The following is a 23013-nucleotide window of genomic DNA, read 5'->3' as shown; positions in this document are numbered from 1 at the left end:
GACTTTGCTCTTTCGCTTATAGCTCCTTGACGCATACTGGTGATTACCAACATTACAATGATAGCAGAGATTATGTCTCTCATTTCATACTGTATTTCTCAGGTAGACCATAAGACTTGGCACATGACAGGTAGTTAATAAATACTCATGAAATAATCGTGTGCATGGAACCTATCACATGTATTTACATATTTATAAATTTTTTTGAAACACACTTGTAATTTTGTTAAATTCAAGCAATGTTGACTAGGATTTCTTAATAAAAAGCTCAATTTGGAATTATTTTCTCAAATTGAATGAATCTTTAAAATACAAAGTCAGAGCTAGAATTTCCAGAAAACATATAGGATAGGCAAAGATTTCTTAGAGGGAACATAATAGCCACAGACTGGGAGGAAATACTTGAAAAGCATGTATTTGGTAAAGGATTATATCCAGGCTATATAAGGAACTACTCAATAAGACAGATGACTCAGTTTTAAAATGGGCATATTTGAACAGGTACTAGTTAAGACGGTAAATAAGCACAAGAAAGGACAGTTAGTATTAATACTCATTTGGGAAATGCAAATTCAGATTTTTACATTTTTATTTTATTTTGTTTTATTTATTTATTCTTTTTGAGACAGAGTCTGGCTCTGTCACCCAGACTGGGTAATTTATAAAGGAAAGAGGTTTTAATGAACTTGCAGTTCCACGTGGTTGGGGAGGCCTCACAATCACAGTGGAAGATGAAGCAAGAGCAAAGTGACATCTTACATGGTGACAGGCAAGAGAGTATGTGCAGGGGAACTCCCCTTTATAAAACCATCAGATCTCCTGAGATTTATTCAGTACCACAAGAACAATATGGAGGAAACTGCCCCCATGTTCAGTTATCTACCTGGCCCCGCCCTTGGCATGTGGGGCTTATTACAGTTCAAAGTGAGATTTGAGTGGGGACACAGCCAAACCCTATGAAATTGTATGATTTCATTAATATGAAATGTTCAGAATAGGCAAGTGTTTAGGGGAGAAAATAGATTAGTAAATGCCTAGGGCTGGAGGGAGTAATGGTGAATGAGTTCCTGCTAACAGGTAAGGGGTTTGACTTAGGATAGTGATGGGATGTTCTACAGTTAGGTGGTACAACCTTGTGAATATAGTAAACACCATTGAGTTGTACATTTTAATTCAGGGAATTGTGTGGTATATTATACTTTAAGTTAATGTTTATACACATATACAGCAATTTGTTTTTTTAATGTTATCAGATTAACTGAAGATAATGAATTTTAAAATAATTCTTGTGATGTAAGAGGGAAAGGAAAGTAAGTGCTAAACTTAGTTTAAACTTCAACATCTGTAAGTTAATACAGCCATTATGGAGAACAGTATGGAGGGTCCTCAAAAAAAAAAAACTAAAAAATACAACTACCATATGATCCAGCAATCCCACTACTAGGTATACATCCAAAAGAAATAAGTTTATCAGGGATATCCGTATACTCATTATTATTGCAGCATTATTGACAATAGCCAAGATTTGGTATCACCCTGTGTCCAAGGAATGAATGGGTAAAGAAAATATGGTACATAAATAAATGGAATACTATTCGGCCATAAAAAAAAGAATGAAATGCTGTCATTTGCAGCAATATGAATGGCATTGGAGGACATTATGTTAAGTGAAATGAGCCAGGAACAGGAAGTTAAATACCAGATGTTCTCACTGGTAGGTGGAAGCTAAAAAAAAAAAGTAGATCTCTCAGAAGCAAAGAACAGAACAGAGGAAACAAGAAGCTGGAAAAGGTAGTGGGAAGGGAGGATTAGGGAGAAATACAAAATTACAAAAAAGGATACAAAATCACAGCTAGATGGGTGGATGAATTCTAGTGTTCCATAGCACAGTAGGATGACTATAGTTAACAATAACATAGTTTCAAATAGCTAGGACAATATTGAATGTTCCCAACACAAAGAAATGATAAGTGTTTAAGATAATGGATGTGTTAATTATCCTGATCTGATCACCATGCATTATATGTCTGGAAACATCACTGTGTACCCCATGAATATTTATAATTTTTGTTAATTTTTTATAAGTGAAAAGAATTTCAACATCTGCATCCTATGCATATTTGGTACTTAAATTTTTTTTAATGAATACTTTGACATAACACCAAAGGAAAAAAAAATTAGCCAAAATCTTGTTTTGAACATTTGTAATAATAATTGAATGTTCTCATAATAGGGTAATATCTTCTTCAGTTTACTGATCTCAAAACCAGAAGTCACATTTGTTTTTACTTAAAATAGTACCATGTTGCTACATCATCTGATTTTTATTGACCAGATAATATTCTATTTCCTGGTGGTAGGTATTTTGAAAAACTAATTCCTTAATTTTTGACAATTAAATTGTTCCTAATTAATGAATCTTTATAAATACAGCATGATGCTTCCAATGACTTGCTTCTTTGCTGTAAGTTTATAGAAATAAAGTTACTGATTCAGTAAATTATCAGTGATTAATTCATTTGTCCATGTGTATGTTTATTATTTGTATTTTTTTGAGTCAGTTGTCATTGCTCACTTAGCAACTACTATATTATTATTTTTCTTAAAACTGAAAATGATCTCTGTATATATGGAAATGAATATTAAATTACTTATGTGAATATATTACCAGAGTGCTGTGTCATTTAATTTTAGTTTTGTTATTTTTTAGAAGAGTTACTCTTATACATTAAGTTTTTTAGGGGGATAAACTAAGTAGAAGTTTAGTTATCAAGTAGAGGACAAGGTTGAACTTTTTTCCCCCACAGAAACTCCTTTGAATTTAATATTTTAAGGTTCTATATATGTTCTGTCACAGTGTGATTAGGATATAGTTACTACTACAGTGGTTACTGATTTATATTTTCTTCTTTTTATAGTGCACTAGTGAAATTGATGAATAAGTCAATAGAGGGGACAGCAGATGATGAAGAGGAGGGTGTAAGTCCAGATACAGCTATCCGTTCAGGACTTGAACTTCTTAAGGTATTTTTGAAACAGTTTTGTTGCCATGTATTTCCGTGGGGTCATAATTTGCCTTCCCTTCAGGATATGCAAGAGTCAGGCTTATTTCACAGGAAACTATTTGAAAGATTTAAAACTTGTGTTGGAAATTAGATGATGTAAAAGTAATGTTTTTACAACATAATATAATAATGTAATTATTTTACATTATAAATTAATATTTGTTTCACTGTTTATCATTTCCATGCCTTCTATGCTTGGTAGTGATTACTGTACAATCTATTCTTAACTTAGTAATAGCAAGATGTGACTTTAGACTTTGTGGACAGGGTATGTGACTAAATCTAGAGGAGGGAATATCATCATTAAAGGGAGTATTTCTTGGTATATTTGTGGGATTCTTGGGAGACTGGCATGACTAGAAAAAAGGGGTGCTTTGGGGAATGATGGGAGACAAGGTTGGTTCCAGATTGTCGAGTGCCACTGGGTAAGAAAGGTAGTGTCACGGGCTTTTAACCTGGCTTACAACCAGCTGCAGCCCTTGATAGAGCTTTCATTGGATTGAGTAAAAGAAGGGAAGAAATTGAAGGCAAAGAGACATGATACCACTGTGACATACAGGAGAAGAGACAAACCAGTGCAATGGATGTTAGATAGAAAAAGAATGATGGGATCATATTCCAAGGGTCTTAAATATCATTTCATTCAGCTGGGCTCGGCAGCTCATGCCTGTAACCCCAGCACTTTGGGAGGCCGAGGCGGGCAGATCACAAGGTCAAGAGATCGAGACCATCCTGGCCAACATGGGGAAACCCCGTCTCTACTAAAAATACAAAAATTAGGTAGACGTGGTGGCACACGCCTGTAGTCACAGCTACTTCGGAGGCTGAGGCAGGAGAATCACTGGAACCCAGGAGGTGGAGGTTGCAGTGAGCTGAGATCACACCACTGCACTCCAGCTTGGCGTCAGAGTGAGACTGTCGAAAAAGAAAAGAAAAAAAAATCATTTCATTAATAGAATTGATATGATGCCTCATGAATAAGATTTTAATTGTTTTTAGTAATTGAGTTGTATTTTTAAGTTGTTTTAAAAGTGAAACCACCTTTAAGGTAACATTTTTTAATAGATTGCTTTTTTTTGTTTGTTTGTTTGAGATGGAGTCTTGCTCTGTTGCCCAGGCTGGAGTGCAGTGGCATGATCTCGGCTCACTGCAAGCTCCGCCTCCCAGGTTCACGCCATTCTCCTGCCTCAGCCTCCCAAGTAGCCGGGACTACAGGCTCCCGCCACCATGCCTGGCTAATTTTTTTTGTATTTTTAGTAGAGATGGGGTTTCACCATGTTAGCCAGGATGGTCTCGATCTCCTGACCTTGTGATCAGCCCGCTTCGGCCTCCCAAAGTGCTGGGATTACAGACGTGAGCCACCGCGCCCGGCCAGTAGATTGCTTTTTATTACATTTTTCTAATTTAATTCTCCAATTTTCTGTAAATAATTAAAACCACGTAAGTAAATATTATCACTCCAAACCTTGCCAAGTGAGACAGTGTCTACACTTAATGACCATTAAATAAGTGCTTATTGAAAAATTAATGAAGACCATCTGCTCATTCCCCTTTCTCCCTGCTTCTCTATTTTCCTAATCTTGATACTACACTAACTGAATTGTTTCTACTTTATGGAAGGTTAACTCTTTAGACATGTATCTAACTTGCTAAAAGTTATTTAAGGACAGGCTCGTGCTGGTGTTATAATAAGGGAATAATTATATATTGTAATCATAATTAAAAGTTCACAATAGTGGCTTCTTTGTTGATAATTATGTTGAGTGATAGATTTCACTTCAGATATTTTTTTGGCTGGGTACAATGGTTTACGCCTGTAATCCCAGCCAAGACAGGAAGATCTCTTGAGCACAGGGGTTGGAGACCAGCCTGGGCAACATAGCTAGACCTCATCTCTACAAAAAAAACAAAAAATTTAGCCGGGCATGGTGGTGCACCTGTAGTCTCAGCTCAGGAGACTGAGGTGGGAGGTTGAGACCCCAGTGAGCTGTGACATTCCACTGTACTCTAGCCTAGGTGACAGAGTGAAATCCTGTCTCAAAAAAAGAAAAAAAAAAATTCTCATAGATTATCTTTTTGCCAGTCAAAGAAAGCTCTGAGTTTGCATTTTGTTTACGTTACACAAAGATTGAGTCATTACGTATGGAGGTTTTATCTCAAGTAAGCATTCCTTCACCTAAATACAATATATTTATAAACTGATAATAGTTATTAATATTGTAAATCACATTCCATAAAAAAGGAGCCATGTGTTTTGTGTTCTAAGTAGCAGAGTAGACTAAGAGGTGAAGAAGAAAATAGGACAAAGGCTGTCTGTTAGTTGTGTCAAGGAATAACTGGAAGCTACCACACCATACAGTATTTCTGATTAGCCATAACTAACTGCAAGGACGGCTAGGAGATGTATCTCTATTCTGTGTAGCTAGCATATTTACCCCAGAATTTAATTTTTTTTTTCTTTTGCGGGAAGTAATTCTTTTTTAATGGATTAAAACCATTGTCTGTACTTCTAAAGCTGTATCTGTTTTTTCAGGTTCTGTCTTTTACACATCCTACCTCGTTCCACTCTGCAGAGACATATGAGTCCTTGTTACAGTGCCTAAGAATGGAGGATGACAAGGTAGCAGAAGCTGCTATTCAAATTTTTAGAAATACAGGTCACAAAATAGAAACAGACCTTCCCCAGATACGATCGTGAGTACATTTTTTCTCCCGTGGTAAATACAAAAGTTTCTAAGTATGGGAACCATAAAATCATTGTTTTCCTTCTGTGTAGGAAGATAGGAGGGAAGAAAGACAACTTTGATTTAGAAGCTACTTTTCTGTGTCCTCCTCTGCTTTGTCTTTCCCTTGCTTCACACCCCTCTCCCACCATTAGAATGCAGGCAGCAGAATAAACTGAAACTACATGTTTGTTTATAACAAAAGTATTTTAAGATATTAAGAATCAAAAGTTATCACAGAATTTAGTGTTTTATTATATTTATGACTAATGTCTTTCTAATCCATGTATATTCATCTTTTTTTCTATAAATGGGTTATAAATTCAATAACTGTCACTTTGCTATCCTACCAAAAAATGGGGCAAATAGTTCACTTTGGCATCTTAAAAAGGTTAAGGTGAAACTTGTGCTGAGATGTTATATTTAGACTTAAAATATGCAGAAGACATCTTTTGAAGGAAACAATACATTGCAAATGGCAGTTGAATCATATGTTCAGGGTATTGGCAATTAGTTCAGAGTATATTCAACTACATACCATTTTCCTCACATGATAATCATAGAACAAGCAGTCTCCTGAAGTTTTTATTAAATTTGTGAGCTAATAGTTTAACTTGTGAAATAATTCAGTGTCCATTGTACATTCTCTTCATTCTCCGCATTGTTCTGGCTAATAATAAAAAGTTACCACAATTAGTCCCTGCCCTCAAGGAGTTTATAGACTAGAAATAATAAATTTTATACATTATTAGAAAAAGATCACTGACACAATAGGATAGTTTTTGATGAGTTTTTCAAGGGAGGAAATCCTATACATTTTTTCAAGGCAAAGAAACTATTCTTAGAGGAATTCTACCCCAAAGGACACAGTTGAAAATGAGCATAGGTGGAAGAGTTAACTTTGGATGTGAGGAATAAAATACCTTATTCATAAGACCAATGGAGAAGAAAGGAGATAATCACTGGAAAGCAGAAAAGCACAATGCTAAAGACCTCAATAACAACTCTGATGGCATCACTAGATTATACTGCTCTAGAAAAAACAAGAAGAAAGGTTAAAGTTGACTTTCTGTATTATTTTATTTGGCTAATAATAATAATACATTTAACAACAGTTTGATTGAAACTATCTTCCTTTGTCATTCACCAGTGTTATAAGAAATCTCAGTCTGGTAAATGGAATGGTGAAAGACTAAACAGATAGGAGAGAGGAAAGACATCTTCCATTTAGAAGCATAGTCAATACTCAGTCAAGGAAGTCTGTTTGGTCATGGACATCCCTATCTCATAATTCCAAAGTCCATAGAGGCAAACTTCAGGCATATTTATACATGTCAAATCAGATTCATACCAACTAGCATATGTTCCCATTTTTGGTTAAAGTGCATGGCCTGGAGCCTGCAGTATAGGTTTCATATGTAGCCTTCCATTATCATAAGAGGGCATTGTCACCCTTGCATTTGATGCCACTAACTTTATAAAATAGGCTCTTCTCTAATAACATTAAATATATGACAAATATCTTTCCTTAAATGTTTGTTTCGTTTTATCAATTTTATTCTGATTATAAAAATACTTACGTTCATTGTAGCAAACTGAAACTAGAAAAAATATAACGAAATAGTCACCATTAACATTTGATATATATACTTTCTATGAATGTTCATCTACTAGATGTGTTTGTCTATTTTTTATAAGTTCATATATGCACACTATTTTCTTCATTCTACCTAATGCTTTTTCATGTCATCAACATTTAATTTTTGAAGAATGCTTTATGTTTTTCTGTCATCCTAAAAGAAGACTGTTTTAGTTTACTCTTCATTGTCAGTGTAGAGGTTAAGTATGTGGATTTTGAAAGAAATGCTAATTTTCAAATCCCAACTCCCAGTTTCCTAGCTTCGTCATCTTAGGAGGCTTAAATAACATCTTTGTGCTTTAATTTTCTCATCTGTGTAATGACTATGATAGTCTTCTTTGGGTGGATGTGAACATTAGTTGAATTAATCCATGCGGAAATACCTAGAATGGTGCCTGGCACATAATAGTTAGATATTTTTATTGCCATTCTACTGATATATATGTAGCTGTATCTTTGCATACTTTCTTTCACTAGTATTATTTCAGCTGTTTAATACAACTTGGCCTTTTGCTACTCTCTTTCTGTAGCTACTTTGAAATAACTGAAGGGGATTATAAAAGGGAATTGAAAAATTAGCAATATTGCTACTTAGAAGGTAAATGCAAAAATATGTCATGGGGTAAGCTTTAGATTATGAATTAAGGGTTGCTTGTTATTTTGCATATTTGTGAGGTAACTTTAAAATAAAAATTGTCTCCTGAAGTAGGCTTTTTCTTGAGGCATTGTATTTCTTGGTTTATACTTGGGGGCAGAGATGGAGCTTTTTTACAACTTTCTTTAGATCAGATAATTTTTAAGAGAGCCTTCTCTACTAGCATCCATCCATATAGGGGAAGTGGAAGTCAACCAAAGGAATACTTGTTGGTTTATGGGTTTAAGAAAAAAAAACAACTATATTATTTTTTGCAGGACCTTAATTCCCATTTTACATCAAAAAGCAAAGAGGGGTACTCCACACCAAGCAAAACAGGCTGTGCACTGTATACACGCCATATTCACAAATAAAGAAGTCCAGCTTGCACAGATTTTTGAGGTATATCTAATATATAGGTTGTGTTTATATTGGTCTTTATTTTTTAAGCTCTATAGTTTGATGAAGATGGAAGCTAGATTTTTTAAAGCTGTTTATATGAAGTCCTACCTTAGACTATAAATTCCTTGTGAGCAAGGATTCTGTCTATTTTATGTGGTACTGCATTCCCAGCCTGTAGATCAGATTATATGTTCAAACACCTCATATTGAAGGGTTTTGTGGTTTTTGTTTTTTAGTTTGTTTTTGAGATAAAGTTTCACTTTCTCACCAGTGCTGGAGTACAGTGATGCAATCTCTGCTCACTGCAGCCCCGAATTCCTAGGTTCAAGCAGTCCTTCTGCCTCAGCCTCCCAAGTAGCTGAGAGTACAGGCACCACCACCATGCCTAGCTAATTTTTGGATTTTTTTATAGAGATGGGGTTTTGCCATGTTGCCCAGGCTGGTCTCAAACTCCTGGACTGAAGCGATCCACCCACTTCAGTCTTTCAAAGTGCTAGGATTACACACATGAGCCACCACACCTAGCCTTATGTGTTTATGTTAGAACATTTTACTTAATTTTAGCCTTATTGGTTCAGTGGTGCATTTATCCTCGGAAAGTATTAGTAGATAATTTTGAACAATCCAGTTTAAAGTACCTAAGAACCCTACCTGAAAATTAATCCTGTTTCCCTTTTTTTTACATATAATGACTGGCCTCATTTTACTATTAGAAATGTATTCCTATTATCATAAATTGGAGATAGTGTGACCAAAACCCAGTGAACTCTTACTTTGTATGATTTAAGGTCATTTAAAATGCTTCCACAGGGTAAGAAAACCACTGGTATAGCAAATCCATTGTTGTAGATTAGTCAAAAATAATGCTGATTTGATGAAGCAAAAATGTTTTTCTTTAAACTTCTTTTTGTTGGATTTTATTTTTTCTTTTATCTTTTTTCTACATTCTTTCAATCTTGCTAAATTTTAGTAGGTGAATTAAGAACCAGGTGTCTTAACATGGTTGAAGTTAGTTATGATCGTATTAGAGAAGATTGGTTTGGGCATGGTAAATTCAGGAGGACTCAGGAAAATGTACTGTTTCAGTAGAGTGTCTAGATATTTATCAAACAAATTGGTAATTTTGTCTGTTTTATTTTTATAGCCACTCAGTAGGAGTCTGAATGCTGATGTGCCAGAACAACTTATAACTCCATTAGTTTCATTGGGCCACATTTCTATGTTAGCACCAGATCAGTTTGCTTCCCCAATGAAATCTGTAGTAGCAAATTTTATTGTGAAAGATCTGCTAATGAATGACAGGGTAAGTTTCTCATTTAATTAAATTGAGAATCATGAGATTAAGGCTGTTTACATCTTCATCACAGAAACACTTCTGTTTCTGTGTAATTCTCTTTTTCTTTTAAATTATTCTATATTGGTTCTACTTATTTTTTATTTATTTAAATTCGAAACTACTTCCTTATTTCATGGTAGCTATTACTACTAGAATTTCACACTTAAGAAACAAAAATTAGAACACGGGATTGGTGAATCATGAAAGTTACATATAAGTAAAAGCTATTTTCCTGACCCTCAAAAGACAGTTTATCATTTTCTGGAATGTTAGAATTGGGTTATTTTTGTTTTTTGTTTTGAAGACAAGAGTCTCGCTCTGTGCCTCAGGCTGGAATGCAGTGGCACGATCTCGGCTCACTGCAACCTTGGCCTCCTCTCATTCCTCAGCCTCCCAAGTAGCTGGGATTACAGGTGCCTGTCACCACGCCTGGCTAATTTTTGTGTTTTTAGTAGAGACGGGGTTTCGCTATGTTGGCCAGGCTTATATTGAACTCCTGACCTCAGGTGATCCGTCCGCCTTGGCCTCTCCAAGTGCTGGGATTACAGGTGTGAGCCACCATGCCGGGCTAAAATTTGTTTTATCAAACATTGTTAGAAATGTAAGTGGATTAGCCGGGTGTGGTGACGGCAGCTGTAATCCTAGCTACTCAGGAGGCTGAGGCAGGAGAATCACTTGAACCCAGAAGGCAGAGGTTGCAGTGAGCCATGATTGCACAGTTGCACTCCAGCCTGGACAACAAGAGCGAAACTCTGTCTCAAAAAAAAAAAAAAAAAAAAAGTAAGTGGACTTGAATTTGACTAATTTTTAAGATAATACACTGTACTTTTGGCACTAGATTTATTGATGTCTGTGTGCTCTGATTTATTACCTCTGGGTTGGAATGTATAGATTGAAAAGACTCCCCAAATGATTTCGGAAACACACCTTGATTAAGAGTCACTACTGGCAGGGCTTGGTGGCTCACGCCTGTAATCCTAGCACTTTGAGGGGCCGAGGTGGGTGGATCACCTGAGGTCAGGAGTTCAAGACCAGCCTAGCCAACATGGTGAAACCCTGTCTCTACTAAAAATACAAAAAAATTAGCCGGGCTTGGTGGCGAGTGCCTGTAATCCCAGCTATTCGGGAGGCTGAGGCAGGAGAATCGCTTGAACCCGGGAGGCAGAGGTTGCAGTGAGCCAAGATTGCACCATTGCACTCCAGCCTAGGCGACAAGAGCAAGACTGTCTCAAAAAAATAAATAAATAAATAAAAGAATCACTGCTTTACCAAATGGATCTAAATTAAATCTGTTGTTATTGAATAAAGACACAGATATGCTGGATCATTGTGGATGACTTTCATTTAAGTGTTAGTTTGCCACAAATCCAGCTTATCCAAAGTTCCTAACTCTCACATGTTTCGGTAATCTTGAGGCCTCAGTATCAGGAACTTAAAGACACCTGCTAGTGCCCCTTCTGTATTTGTACCACCTTCCACTTTTGAACGCAGCAGACAAGAAGAGAAGAACGTGGCCTAAGTCTCATTTTCTACCCTTACATATCCTTGCTGTTATTTTTACTTTCGATAGATGTGGTTTTCAACAAATGTGAAATTTAAGATACCTCTTAAATGATGATTGTTGATAGATTGTGTTTTCAGACGGTCTTTTTTTATGGTGATAAACTATACATAGTATCAAATTTGCTATTTTTAAGTGTTAAAATTCACTAACATAATAGCCACATTGTTACCTAATCATCACCACCCCATCCATCTCCAGAATTTTTTATCACCCCATACAGAAACTCTGTACCCATTAAGCAACAACTCTCCATTGCCCTCTGTTCTACCTTCTGACTCTATGACTACCTATTCTAGGTATCTCTTATATGATATTTGTCCTTTTGTGTCTGTTGTATTTCACTTAGCATGTTCTCAGGGCTCTTCCATGTTGTAGTATGTATCAGAATGTTGTTCCTTTTGTGGCTAAGCAGTGTTCTTTTATATGTATATTTTTGTTTGTATATATCCCACATTTTTTTGTTGATTGGTGGACACTTGGGTTGCTTCTACGTGTTGGCTGTTGTGAATAATGCTGATATAAACATTTATGTTCCTGTTCTCCCATTTCTTGGGTATATATCTAGGAATAACATTGTTGGGTTACATGTCATTTTCCTTTTTAAAAAAGCAACAGCCATACTAGTGGATAAGAAGTGATATCTCATTGTGGTTTTGATTTGCATTTTCCTGATGAATGATGATGTCAAGGATATTTTTTGTGTGCTTATTGACTACCTGTATATCTTCTTTGGAGAGCTGTGTATTAAATTCCTTCCCCCACCCCACTCTTATTTTATTTTATTTTATTTTATTTTATTTTGAGACATGGTCTCACTCTGTCACCCAGGCTGGGGTGCACTAGCGCAACCTTGGCTCATCACAACCTCCGCTTCCCAGGCTCAAGCAATATCTCCTGCCTCAGCCTCCTGAGTAGCTGGGACTATCAGCACACGCCACCATGCCTGGCTAATTTTTGTATTTTTTTATACAGACAGGGTTTCGCCATGTTGCCCATGCTGCCTTCACCCACTTTTAGTTGGGTTGCTTCTTGTTGAGTTTTAAGAGTTATTTACATTTTCTGTATATTAAACCTTTGTCAGCTATTTACCAGATCCAAGATCATGAAGATTTCTTCCTATGTCATCTTTTCAGAGTTTTATGGTTTTAGCTATTAAATTGAGATATTTGATTAATTCTGAGTTAATTCTTATATGTATTAACAATCTAGTTTCTTTTTTTGTTTGTGTGTTTGCTTCTTGTGGATATCCAGGAGTTTTTTTGTTTTGCTTTTGTGTTTTTGAGATGGAGTCTCACTCTGTAGCCCAGCCTGGAGTGAGGTGGCGCAATGTCAGCTCACTGCAACCTCTGCCTCCTAGGTTCAAGCAGTTCTCCAGCCTCAGCCTCCCGAGTAGCTGAGACTACAGGCATGCACCACCATGCCCAACTAATTTTTTTGTGTTTTTAGAAGAGGCAGGGTTTTGCCATGTTAGCCAGGCTGGTCTCAAACTCCTGACCTCAAGTGATCCACCTGCCTCATCCCCCCATAGTGCTGGGATTACAGGCTTGACCCTCTGCACCCGGCTGAATATCCAGTTTTTCTAGCACCATTTGTTGAAGAGACTGTTCTTTCACTAAAGATGGTCTTGGCATCCTTTGTCAAAAATGAATTACCATATATGCAAGGGTTTTCTGAGTTCTCTATTCCATTAGTCTATATGTCTATCCTTGCCAGTACCAGCCACACTGTCTTGATTACTGTAGGTTTTATAGTAAGTTTCAAAATTGGGAAGTATGAGTCTTCTAACTTTGTCCTTTTCCAAGCTCTGGTTGGTGATGTTCCCGTAGGTTTCTCAGAGGCTGTGTTGATCAACATGAAAAACTTAATCAGCAAAAACATAAATTTTTTTTTTCATGCTAATAGCTAAATTTATTCAATTGTCTATAGTCAACAGGTGAAAAGAATGGAAAACTGTGGTCTCCAGATGAAGAGGTTTCCCCTGAAGTACTAGCAAAGGTAAATTTGTTTAGGCCTTGATAATCTTCATGTTTAAAAAAGGGACATTTTGTAGTTATCTTCCTCACCTTTAAAAAATTTAATAAACAGAGATGGGATCTTGCTGTGTTGCTCAGTTTGGTCTTGAACTCCTGGGCTCAGCTGATCCTCCCACTTCAGCCTCCCAAAGTGCTGGGATTATGAGCTTAAGCCATCGTGCCTAGCTGGGAGCCTTTTTTAATTAAACCTAATAGTTAATAAGCATTTGTTAAGGAGGTACTTTATTTTAAAATCCATTGCAAAAAATGGTTTATTGAAGACATTGTGGTTGTCATTGTTTATTACATGTCAGTGTCTTCTGCCTGCTAAAGCAATCTTAATGAGGCTGTTTTATAGAGAGACTGTTTATAGAATGACGGTGCTCAGAGGCATCTTAAATCCAGCCTCATCACCACTATCTACAAGCATATGAATATTAACTTGGCAAAGATAGGTAATTGTCAAGCTGGGCACTGTGGCAGATTTGGGATTTAAAATAAGATTGTATCATCTTCTTTGATAATCTGTTTCACTTTGTGTTGCTTCATCATCATCATATATTCTATCAATTCATTTTTCCTGGTTGTCAATAAATATAATAAATAATACTTTGATTTGTTTTTCACACCTATTATCCCAGCACTTTGGGAGGCAGAGCAGGAGGATCGCTTGAGCCCAAGAGTTCAAGACCAACCTGGGCAGCATAGTGAGCCATGTCTCTACAAAATATTAAAAATAATTTAGTTGGGCTAGGCATGGTGGCTCACGCCTATAATCCCAGCACTTTGGGAGGCTGAGGCAGGCAGATCACTTGGGGTCAGGAGTTCAAGACCAGTCTGGACAACATGGTGAAACCCCTTGTCTACTAAAAATACAAAAACTAGCTAGGCATGGTGTTGCACATCTGTAATCCCAGCTACTTCGGAGGCTGAGGCAGGACAGTCACTTGAACCTGGGAGGTAGAGGTTGCAGTGAGCCAAGGTCCCGCCACCGCCCTCCAGCTTGGGCAACAGAGTGAAACTCGGTCTCAAATAATAATAATGATAATTTGGCCGGGTGTGGTGGTGCATACCTATAGTTCCACCTACTCAGAAAGCTGAGGCAGGAGGATCGCTTGAGCCCAGGAGGTCAAGGCTACAGTGAGTTGTGATCATGCCAGTACACTCCAGCCTGGGTGACAGAGCAGATAGAGATGATTGTTACTAAATTTGTGACATTTAATAGATGTAAAGCTCAGTTGAAAAGTGGCAGATTTGGGATTTAAAATAAGATTGTATCATCTTCTTTGATAATCTTTCACTTTGTGTTGCTTTGTAGTCATCATATATTCTATCAGTTCATTTTTCCAGGTTGTCAATAAATATAATAAATAATACTTTGATTTTTTGGCTAGCTTTTTCACATATATTGGTAACAATCTTTTGACTAGACATTTCTAAGTAATTATGACTACCAATAATTACACAAAATCCCATTTTTTTGGTCACAATGTTAAATGAGACTGAATCAGACTTGATGGTTTCTTCAAAGTAGTTTTTCAATACCACAAAACTGAAACTCTCAAGTTATTTTCAGTCACCACAATCAGTACAGTTGTGGGGTGTGTGTGTGTGTGTGTGTGTGTGTGTGTGTGTGTGTGTGTTTTGGTTTTTTTATGAAACAGAGTTTTGCTCTGTCACCCAGGCTGGAGTGCAGTGGCACAATCTCAGCTCACTGCAACCTCTGCCTCCCGGGTTCAAGCAATTCTCATGCCTCAGCCTCCTGAGTAGCTGGGACTACAGGCGTGTGCCACCATGCCTGACTAATTTTTTTTTTTTTTTTTTTTTAGTAGAGACGGGGTTTTTTAGTATAGACACGGTTTCACCATGTTGGCTAGGCTGGTCTCAAACGCCTGACCTCAAGTGATCCACCTGCCTTGGCCTCCCAAAGTGCTGGGATTACAGGCGTGAGTCACCACCCCCGGCCTGTATAGTTTAAATTGTTGTTTTTAAAGTATATGTTTTCAAATAGTTTCAAAATCTTGCACAAACATCTAAGTATGAGAAGCCTAAATTCTGGAACCAGACTTTTAAGCAAGTTATCTATGATAATAATGTGTCTCAATTGCCTTATCTGTTGGAAAAAAAAAAATCTTCCTCATAAGAATTTTTTGGGAGATTAAATAAGTTAATACATTTACAGATCTAAGAAAAGTGCCTGGCACTGGTTAAGCACAGAGTAAATATTAGTTCGTATTGTTGCTGTTATTATCCCATAGACTTATTTAATAAAATGTCTGCTGATGGAGATGAGTAATCTCATTAATCTAATTAAATTAATTTTCCCTTTAATTGGAATTTTAAGTTGCTTTCTTTTTTTAGCATGTTAATATTTTATAGGTACAGGCAATTAAACTTCTGGTAAGGTGGCTGTTGGGTATGAAAAACAACCAGTCTAAATCTGCCAATTCAACCCTTCGGTTATTATCAGCGATGTTGGTTAGTGAGGGTGACCTGACAGAGCAAAAGAGGATCAGGTGAGATTTTTCTTTCTTTCCAGTTTTCTTAGTGCTGAAATTTTGGTGGAATTTACATAGGAATTATTTACCTAATGAATACTGAATGGTGTAATTACACCATGATCTTCAGGGTCAGATCTTATGTACTCATTTAGGGTTTGTCTGTCTGTCAGTATTGTTATTTTAATAGTGCCAATATATTTTTCTTCATTCCTAAAGAAGAGGAACTTTTTCCAGTAAATACATAATCATAATCACTATATTGTACTATTACAGTTAGCATCAACATTTGGTTCAATTAAACAAGTATTTGTTAAACTTCTACTTCATAAAACACTGTGAAAAGCATTGCAGCAAAAATAAGTAGGAAAAGTCCCTGCCTTCAAAGAGCATCCCTGTATTAAAGCGATTAAATAAGTGGAGTGACTTGAGTCCCATGAAAGTAATAAAAATTTAAGTGGCAGCCAGGCGCGGTGGCCTATGCCTGTAATCCCAGCATTTTGGGAGGCCGAGACGGGCAGATCACGAGGTCAGGAGTTCAAGACCAGCCTGGCCAATATGGTGAAACCCCGTCTCTACTAAAACAAAAAACAAAAATTAGCCAGGCATGGTGGCACATGCCTGTAATCCCAGCTACTCAGGAGGCTGAGGCAGGAGAATCGCTTGAAACCAGAAGGCAGAGGTTGCAGTGAGCTGAGATCGTGCCACCGCACTCCAGCCTGGGCAACAGAGCGAGAGCCTGTCTCAAAATAAATAAATAAATAAAAATAAAAATTGCAATGGCAACTCAAGGGAGAGTTGAAGCCTTCTTGTTGTTCTACAGATTTGGGTGTGTACACTTGTATGTGCACACAGAGATTGTTTACATTGTTACACATTTTCACTTTTAATCTCTAAAATTGCCATCTCATTTTAAGATGAAAATAGAAGCTCAGTTTTTCATGATCCTGGTTTCTGTCAAATTCTTGATTTAGTAGGGGCCAAGATTACCAACATAGATAACTAAAGTATTCTACATATGATGCATTCCTTTTTAAAAATTTGTTTTAGAGGACAGAGGTTTAATCATTCTTTATGAGGCTGAGTGCAGTGGCTTACGCCTGTAATCCCAGCACTTTGGTAGGCCAAGTCAGGCAGATCAATTGAGGTCATGTTGAAACCCTGTCTCTACTAAAAATATAGAAATTTAGCCAGGTGTGGTGGTACGTGCCTATAATCCCAGCTACTGGGGAGGCTAAGGCATGAAAATCACTTGAACCCAGGAGGTGGAGGTTGCAGTGTGCCAAGATCACGCCATTGTACTCCAGCTTTGGCTAGTTATGTGGTACTGCTATGCTATTAATTTTTTTAAAAATTATTGTGATTAGGAATGGGATCTCACTATGTTGCCCAGGCTAGCTGGGCTCAAGCAATCCTCCTGCCTCAGCCTCCTGAGTAGTGGGACTATAGGTGTGCACCACTACGCTCTATTTTTATCATAGAATAAGCCAAAGGCAGCCTTTTATAACACTGTTTAGAGCTGAGTTAGGGATAATGAAAGCTTTAAATTGGGGGTAATTATGTACAGTACATGGCAAAGGCATAATAATGAGCTCTTACAAGTCAGTGATACCTAGGCAGGACCCCCAGTGGAGATGAAGTTTAGCTATTATCAGTTTACTTTTAAAAGTTTAACATCACTAAATGCAGTCAATACAATTTAAACTTAATCAATACCTCTTTTCATTACAAATCAGAAAGAAAAAAAAACGTTATAAGCAATCATTCCTCAGTATGATCATGGAAATGGGTTCCTTCATTACTCCTATGAGTATAAATTAGCAGGACTCTTTGGCATTTTGCATCTAGATCCTCAAAAATGTTATCCTTGACTCTTTATTTTTACACTCATAATTCATGAGTATAAAAGAATCATATGAAAGCTTATACACAAGCATGTTCCTCCAGCATTATTTTCCATCACAAAAAATAGGGGAATGGTTAACCATAGAATGAACACCCATTGGACAGATCCTAACTGGATATCATATAATATAGTATTACCTTTTGTAAGCCTCAATTTCCTCATCTTATGGAGTGAAAATTAATTGAGATAAAGCCTATAAAGTGTTTTTCACACCTGCCTGGCACGGAGTAAGCACTCACATAATAGCTATTAACTTTGATTCCTGAATGAATGCCATAGAAACCATTTGAGGCTCCCTCATTGTTACCAGTGCTCATTTTAACAATCCTGTTGTCCAAGAGTGCCAGGTTTTCTTCTCTCTATGCTTAGCAACAGTCCCAGTGGGTTCCGGCTAGCTTTCTGCATTTCGTAAAGTGGTCACAATAAATACAAAAGCCATGCTATGTTCCACATAGAAGTCGAAGTAGAAAGACTCCCATGCCATCCCATTCATTACCACATTTTACCACGTAAGTAATAAAAATCCACAGTGTCGGGGTGGGAGTGCCAAGGCTTCATAGGTTCCATTTGAAAACTTTACTCTGCAAAAGGAGATCAGCCCCAGGAACTAGTACCTAAGACAGACACTGGCCTCTTATATTTCATATCCTTTAGGTATTTGTCTGATACTTCTTCACTCTTAACTGCAGCCCTGCCATTTCAGCAGGCATTAAACTAGATTCCTGTTACATGTTTATATGCAGGAAATAGATTTTAAATGATGATAGGTGATTTTTTTTTTAATTCTTTGTGGTTTTTTTAATCAAGTTTTTTTGTTTTTTGTTTTTTGTTTTTTGTTTTTTTTGAGACAGAGTCTTACTCTGTTGCCAGGGTAGAGTGCAGTGGTGCGACCTTGGCTCACTGCAACCTCCACCTCTCAGGTTCAAGCAGTTCTCCTGCCTGAGTCTCCCAAGTAGCTGGGACTACAAGTGCGTGCCACCACACCCAGCTAATTTTTTGTATTTTTAGTAGAAACAGGGTTTCACCATGTTGGCCAGGATGGTCTCAATCTCTTGACCTCGTGATCCGTCCACCTCGGCCTCCCAATGTGCTGGGATTACAGGTGTGAGCCACCATGCCTGGCCACTTTAATCAAGTTTTCTACAATCAATATGTATTTCTCTTAAAATGAGGGATACAGCTCCTGATGTAAAGAGTTTTTCCTAGCCTTGCAATTACTATGGTTGCAAGAATAAGCAGAGTTTTTGGGTTGTGGTGAAGTATCTAAGCTAGAGTTTGACTAGAAATGAAGGCAGGTAAATTTGTAATCAGAAAGTCACAATGATTTGATTTGATTGTGAAAGTCACAATCCCCTGTGTTAAGTTCATGGACTCAAAGTAGCTTTCCCATATTTGTACGTCATTTTAAACATAAATTATGCTCTAAGGACCTTACATTCAAAAAGGGACGAAAGCATTTTTATGAATGATAGTGGTTATAGGAAATGTTTATTTCTTTTTTGTTTGTTTATAGTAAATCTGATATGTCTCGCTTGCGATTAGCTGCTGGTAGTGCCATAATGAAGCTTGCTCAGGAACCTTGTTACCATGAAATTATTACCCCAGAACAGTTTCAGCTCTGTGCACTTGTTATTAATGTAAGTAACAATCTTATTTTTGTCAATTACTTATCTTCAAAGTTGAATACATTACTTTTCTATGGATACAAATCCATTTATAATGTGAATATATGCACAAAAGTCACTACTATTATTACCTGTTTAACTGTCTTCCAATTATTACATTATTTATTCTCCCATATAATTATCTTCTTTTTAATTGAAGACACTAAAAATACTTAAACTGCTGTTTTTTATTTAATAAATGGTTGCCAATTTAAGTTTTTCTGTGCTGCTGTAGGATGAGTGTTACCAAGTAAGGCAGATATTTGCTCAGAAGCTGCATAAGGCACTTGTGAAGTTACTGCTCCCATTGGAGTATATGGCGATCTTTGCCTTGTGTGCCAAAGATCCTGTGAAGGAGAGAAGAGCACACGCACGACAATGTTTACTGAAAAATATCAGTATACGCAGGGAATACATTAAGCAGAATCCTATGGCTACTGGTAAGTAACTCAGAGTTCTCCGTGTGCAAATATATTTTGTCAATGTATCCATTTTTAGGTTTTTTTTTTCTTGTCATGTGTTTCTATTATAGTTTATAATAAAACTGGGAGTTTTATAGAATGCTGTCATTGTAGTTATGATGTACTTAAAAACTGAACTCCTGAGTCCTATTTATGCTGCATTAACTCTGGCAAACTGCATTTTTCCTATGGGATCAGGAGTGTAGTTTAATTTGAACATATTGCTCGGATGTCAGACTAAATAATTTTTTCCTAGCTTTGCCAGGGACCTGTTGTTTAATGGGTTTAATATCTGATACCTTTGACTTCAGTATCTTTCAAAAGTGAAATACAACTGCATACCAGGTACCAGAAAAAGAAATTGAAAAGTGAAGTGTAAAGTATTTTAGTATCCAGGTATCATGTTGTGCCTAATTTAGAAATAACTGAGGGAAAAAATGAAAACTTAAGTGGTTAGAACTCAGTCCACTAAGGCATTTTATAAAGGTTGTTTTTAATAATGTTTTTACTTCAGAGAAATTATTATCACTGTTGCCTGAATATGTAGTTCCATACATGATTCACCTGCTAGCCCATGATCCAGATTTTACAAGATCACAAGATGTTGATCAGCTTCGTGATATCAAAGAGTAAGTCTTGTTGTTTTTCAAGAACTCTAAAAATTATGTTTAGTTTTCAAAAAATGGTAAATTTTTTGTTTATTATTTTTATTTATTATTTACATTAGAATTAGAATCTCCTTATGGTTTTATTCATTTATTATAAATTTCCAGTTTCGTCTTTCAAAAATTTTCCCATCTACCAGGTTTTGGTTGTTCATTTTCTGTTTGTTTGCAGCTAGTTAAGCTATCTAAGTCTTTGAAATAGGTTAGTTTGGTTATCTTAGTTATTATATTTGATTTTTACTATTTATATTGAGAGGGTTTGAATATGGGAAGAGTACTGAAGTATGTGAAATAATTGGAGTTGGAACTGAAAACAGTGGAGCATATTTTTTATTCTTTGTTCTCTCTAGCATGCAACACTTTCAAATATCTTTTAAAAAATTTTGATACATAATAATTGTATACATTTATGAGGTACACGTAATATTTTGGTACATGCATACAATGTGTAATGAGAAAATCAGAGTAATTAAGATATCCATTTCCTCTTCATCCCAGGCAATTGGAGCTGCAATGAGCTATGATTAAGCCACTGCATGCCAGCCTGGGTGATAGAACGAGACCCTGTCTCTGAAAAATAATAGTAACAATAAAATTTTTAAAATACAAATAAATTATTGTTAACTATAGTCACCCTACCATGGTATCAAATGTCAGAACTTATTCCTTGTATCTAAGTGTATTTTTGTACCCATTAACCAGTCTCTCTCTCTTTATTTTTTTCCGAGATGGAGTCTTGCTCTTTTGCCCAGGCTGGAGTGCAGTGGCACGATCTTGGCTCACTGCAACATCTGCCTCCCTAGTTCAAGTGATTCTCCCATCTCAGCCTCCCGAGTAGCTGGGACTACAGGTGCCTGCCACCACTCCTGGCTAAATCTTTTTTTGTATTTTTGTTAGAGATGGAGTTTTACCATGTTGGCCAGGCTGCTCTCCTGACCTTGTGATCCCCCTGCCTCAGCCTCCCCAAGTGCTGGGATTACAGACGTGAGCCACCGCACTTGGCAACCAGTCTCTCTTTATTCCCCCTTCCCTTCTACACTTGACAGGCTCTGATAACCACCCTTCTACTGTCTGCCTGTATAAGATCTTCATTTTTATTCTATTTTTTTTTTTTTTAATGAGACAAGTTCTTACTCTATCCCCCGGGCTGAAGTGCAGTGGTGTGATCAGGGCTCATTGTACCTTGACCTCCTGGGCTAAAGCAATCTCCTACCTCATCTTCCTGAGTAGCTGGGACTACATGTGCCACCATGCCCAGCTAATTTTTGTATTTTTTGTAGAGATGGGGTCTCACTGTGTTGCCCAGGCTGGTCTCAAACTCGTGGACTCAAGCGACCCTCCTGCCTCAGCTTCCTGAAGTGCTAGGATTACAGGCGTGAGCCACTGTGCCTGGCCTTCACTCTTTCAGTGCCCACATATGAGTGAGACCATGCGATATTTGTCTCTGGGCTTGGCTTATTTCACTGAGCATAATGACTTCAAGTTCTGTTCATTTTGCTGAAAATGACAGAATTTCATTCTTTTTTATGGATGAGTAATTTTTCATTGTATGTGTGTATATCCTCCATTTTCCTAATTAATTTATCTGTTGAGGGACACTTAGGTTGATTCCATATCTTGGCTGTTGTAAATAGTGCTACAGTAAACATGGAAATGCATCCATCTCTTAGATCTACTAATTTCCTTTCTTTTTTTCCTTTTTTTCCTTTTTTTTTTTGAGACAAGTGTCTTACTCTGTTGCCCTGGCTGGAGTGCAGTGGAATGATCTCAACTCACTGTAACCTTTGCCTCCCCACTTAAAGCTATTCTCATGCCTCAGCCTCCCAAGGAGTTAGCACTACAGACGTGTACCACCACAACCAGCTAATTTTTGTATTTTTAGTAGAGACCAGTTTTCACCATGTTGCCCAGGCTGGTCTCCCAACTACTGGCCTCAAGTGATCCACCCGCCTGGGCCTTCCGAAGTGCTGGGATTGCAGGCATGAGCCACTGTGCCCGGCCAAGATGTACTGAATTCCTTTATTTTGGATATATATCCAGCAGTGAGATTGCTGGATTATATGGCAGATCTGTTTTTGTTTTTTTGAGAAACCTTTTTTTTTCTCTCTCTTTATAGAGATGCGATCTTGTTATGTTGCCCAGGCTAGTCTTGAACTCCTGGGCTCAAGCAATCCTCCCACCTTGGTCTCCCAAATTTCTGGGATTACAGGCATGAGCCACCACACCCAGCCTGAGGAACCATCATACTGTTTTCCATAGTAGCTTCAACATGGTGTCCCCACTGATTGGAGCAGTGAGTAGTCACCAGAGTTTAAGCACAGTCAGTGCCCTGCTCTTTGTCCCCAGTTCATCCCAGGTGGTTCTGCCCATCTAGCACTCCCAGTGGTTCCCATGGGACAGGACTGGAGTGGGCTTCCCAGACTTGTGGAGAGCTCGGAGTTCCA

General features: G+C 37.3%; 1 protein-coding gene across 6 annotated transcripts in view; it reads left to right on the top strand.

Moving 5' to 3' along the window:
- Positions 1-23013, top strand: part of PDS5A (PDS5 cohesin associated factor A) — a 155049-nt gene that overhangs the window by 95160 nt on the left and 36876 nt on the right. For all 6 annotated transcript variants that reach the window (XR_001741185.2, XR_001741188.2, NM_001100399.2 and 3 more), the window contains 9 exons: positions 2919-3024; positions 5599-5759; positions 8340-8463; positions 9608-9766; positions 13290-13358; positions 15755-15891; positions 19293-19416; positions 19679-19883; positions 20419-20533. Coding sequence is in view for 4 of the 6 variants with exons in the window: in NM_001100399.2 (NP_001093869.1) it covers positions 2919-3024; positions 5599-5759; positions 8340-8463; positions 9608-9766; positions 13290-13358; positions 15755-15891; positions 19293-19416; positions 19679-19883; positions 20419-20533 (1200 nt within the window). In the remaining 2 variants the exon portion in view is untranslated. The remainder of the gene's footprint in view (positions 1-2918; positions 3025-5598; positions 5760-8339; positions 8464-9607; positions 9767-13289; positions 13359-15754; positions 15892-19292; positions 19417-19678; positions 19884-20418; positions 20534-23013) is intronic.

This window comes from Homo sapiens, chromosome 4, assembly GCF_000001405.40.
Source record: "Homo sapiens chromosome 4, GRCh38.p14 Primary Assembly".
NCBI classification, from domain to species: Eukaryota; Metazoa; Chordata; class Mammalia; order Primates; family Hominidae; genus Homo; species Homo sapiens.
This window is presented reverse-complemented; position numbering and strand designations above follow the sequence as displayed.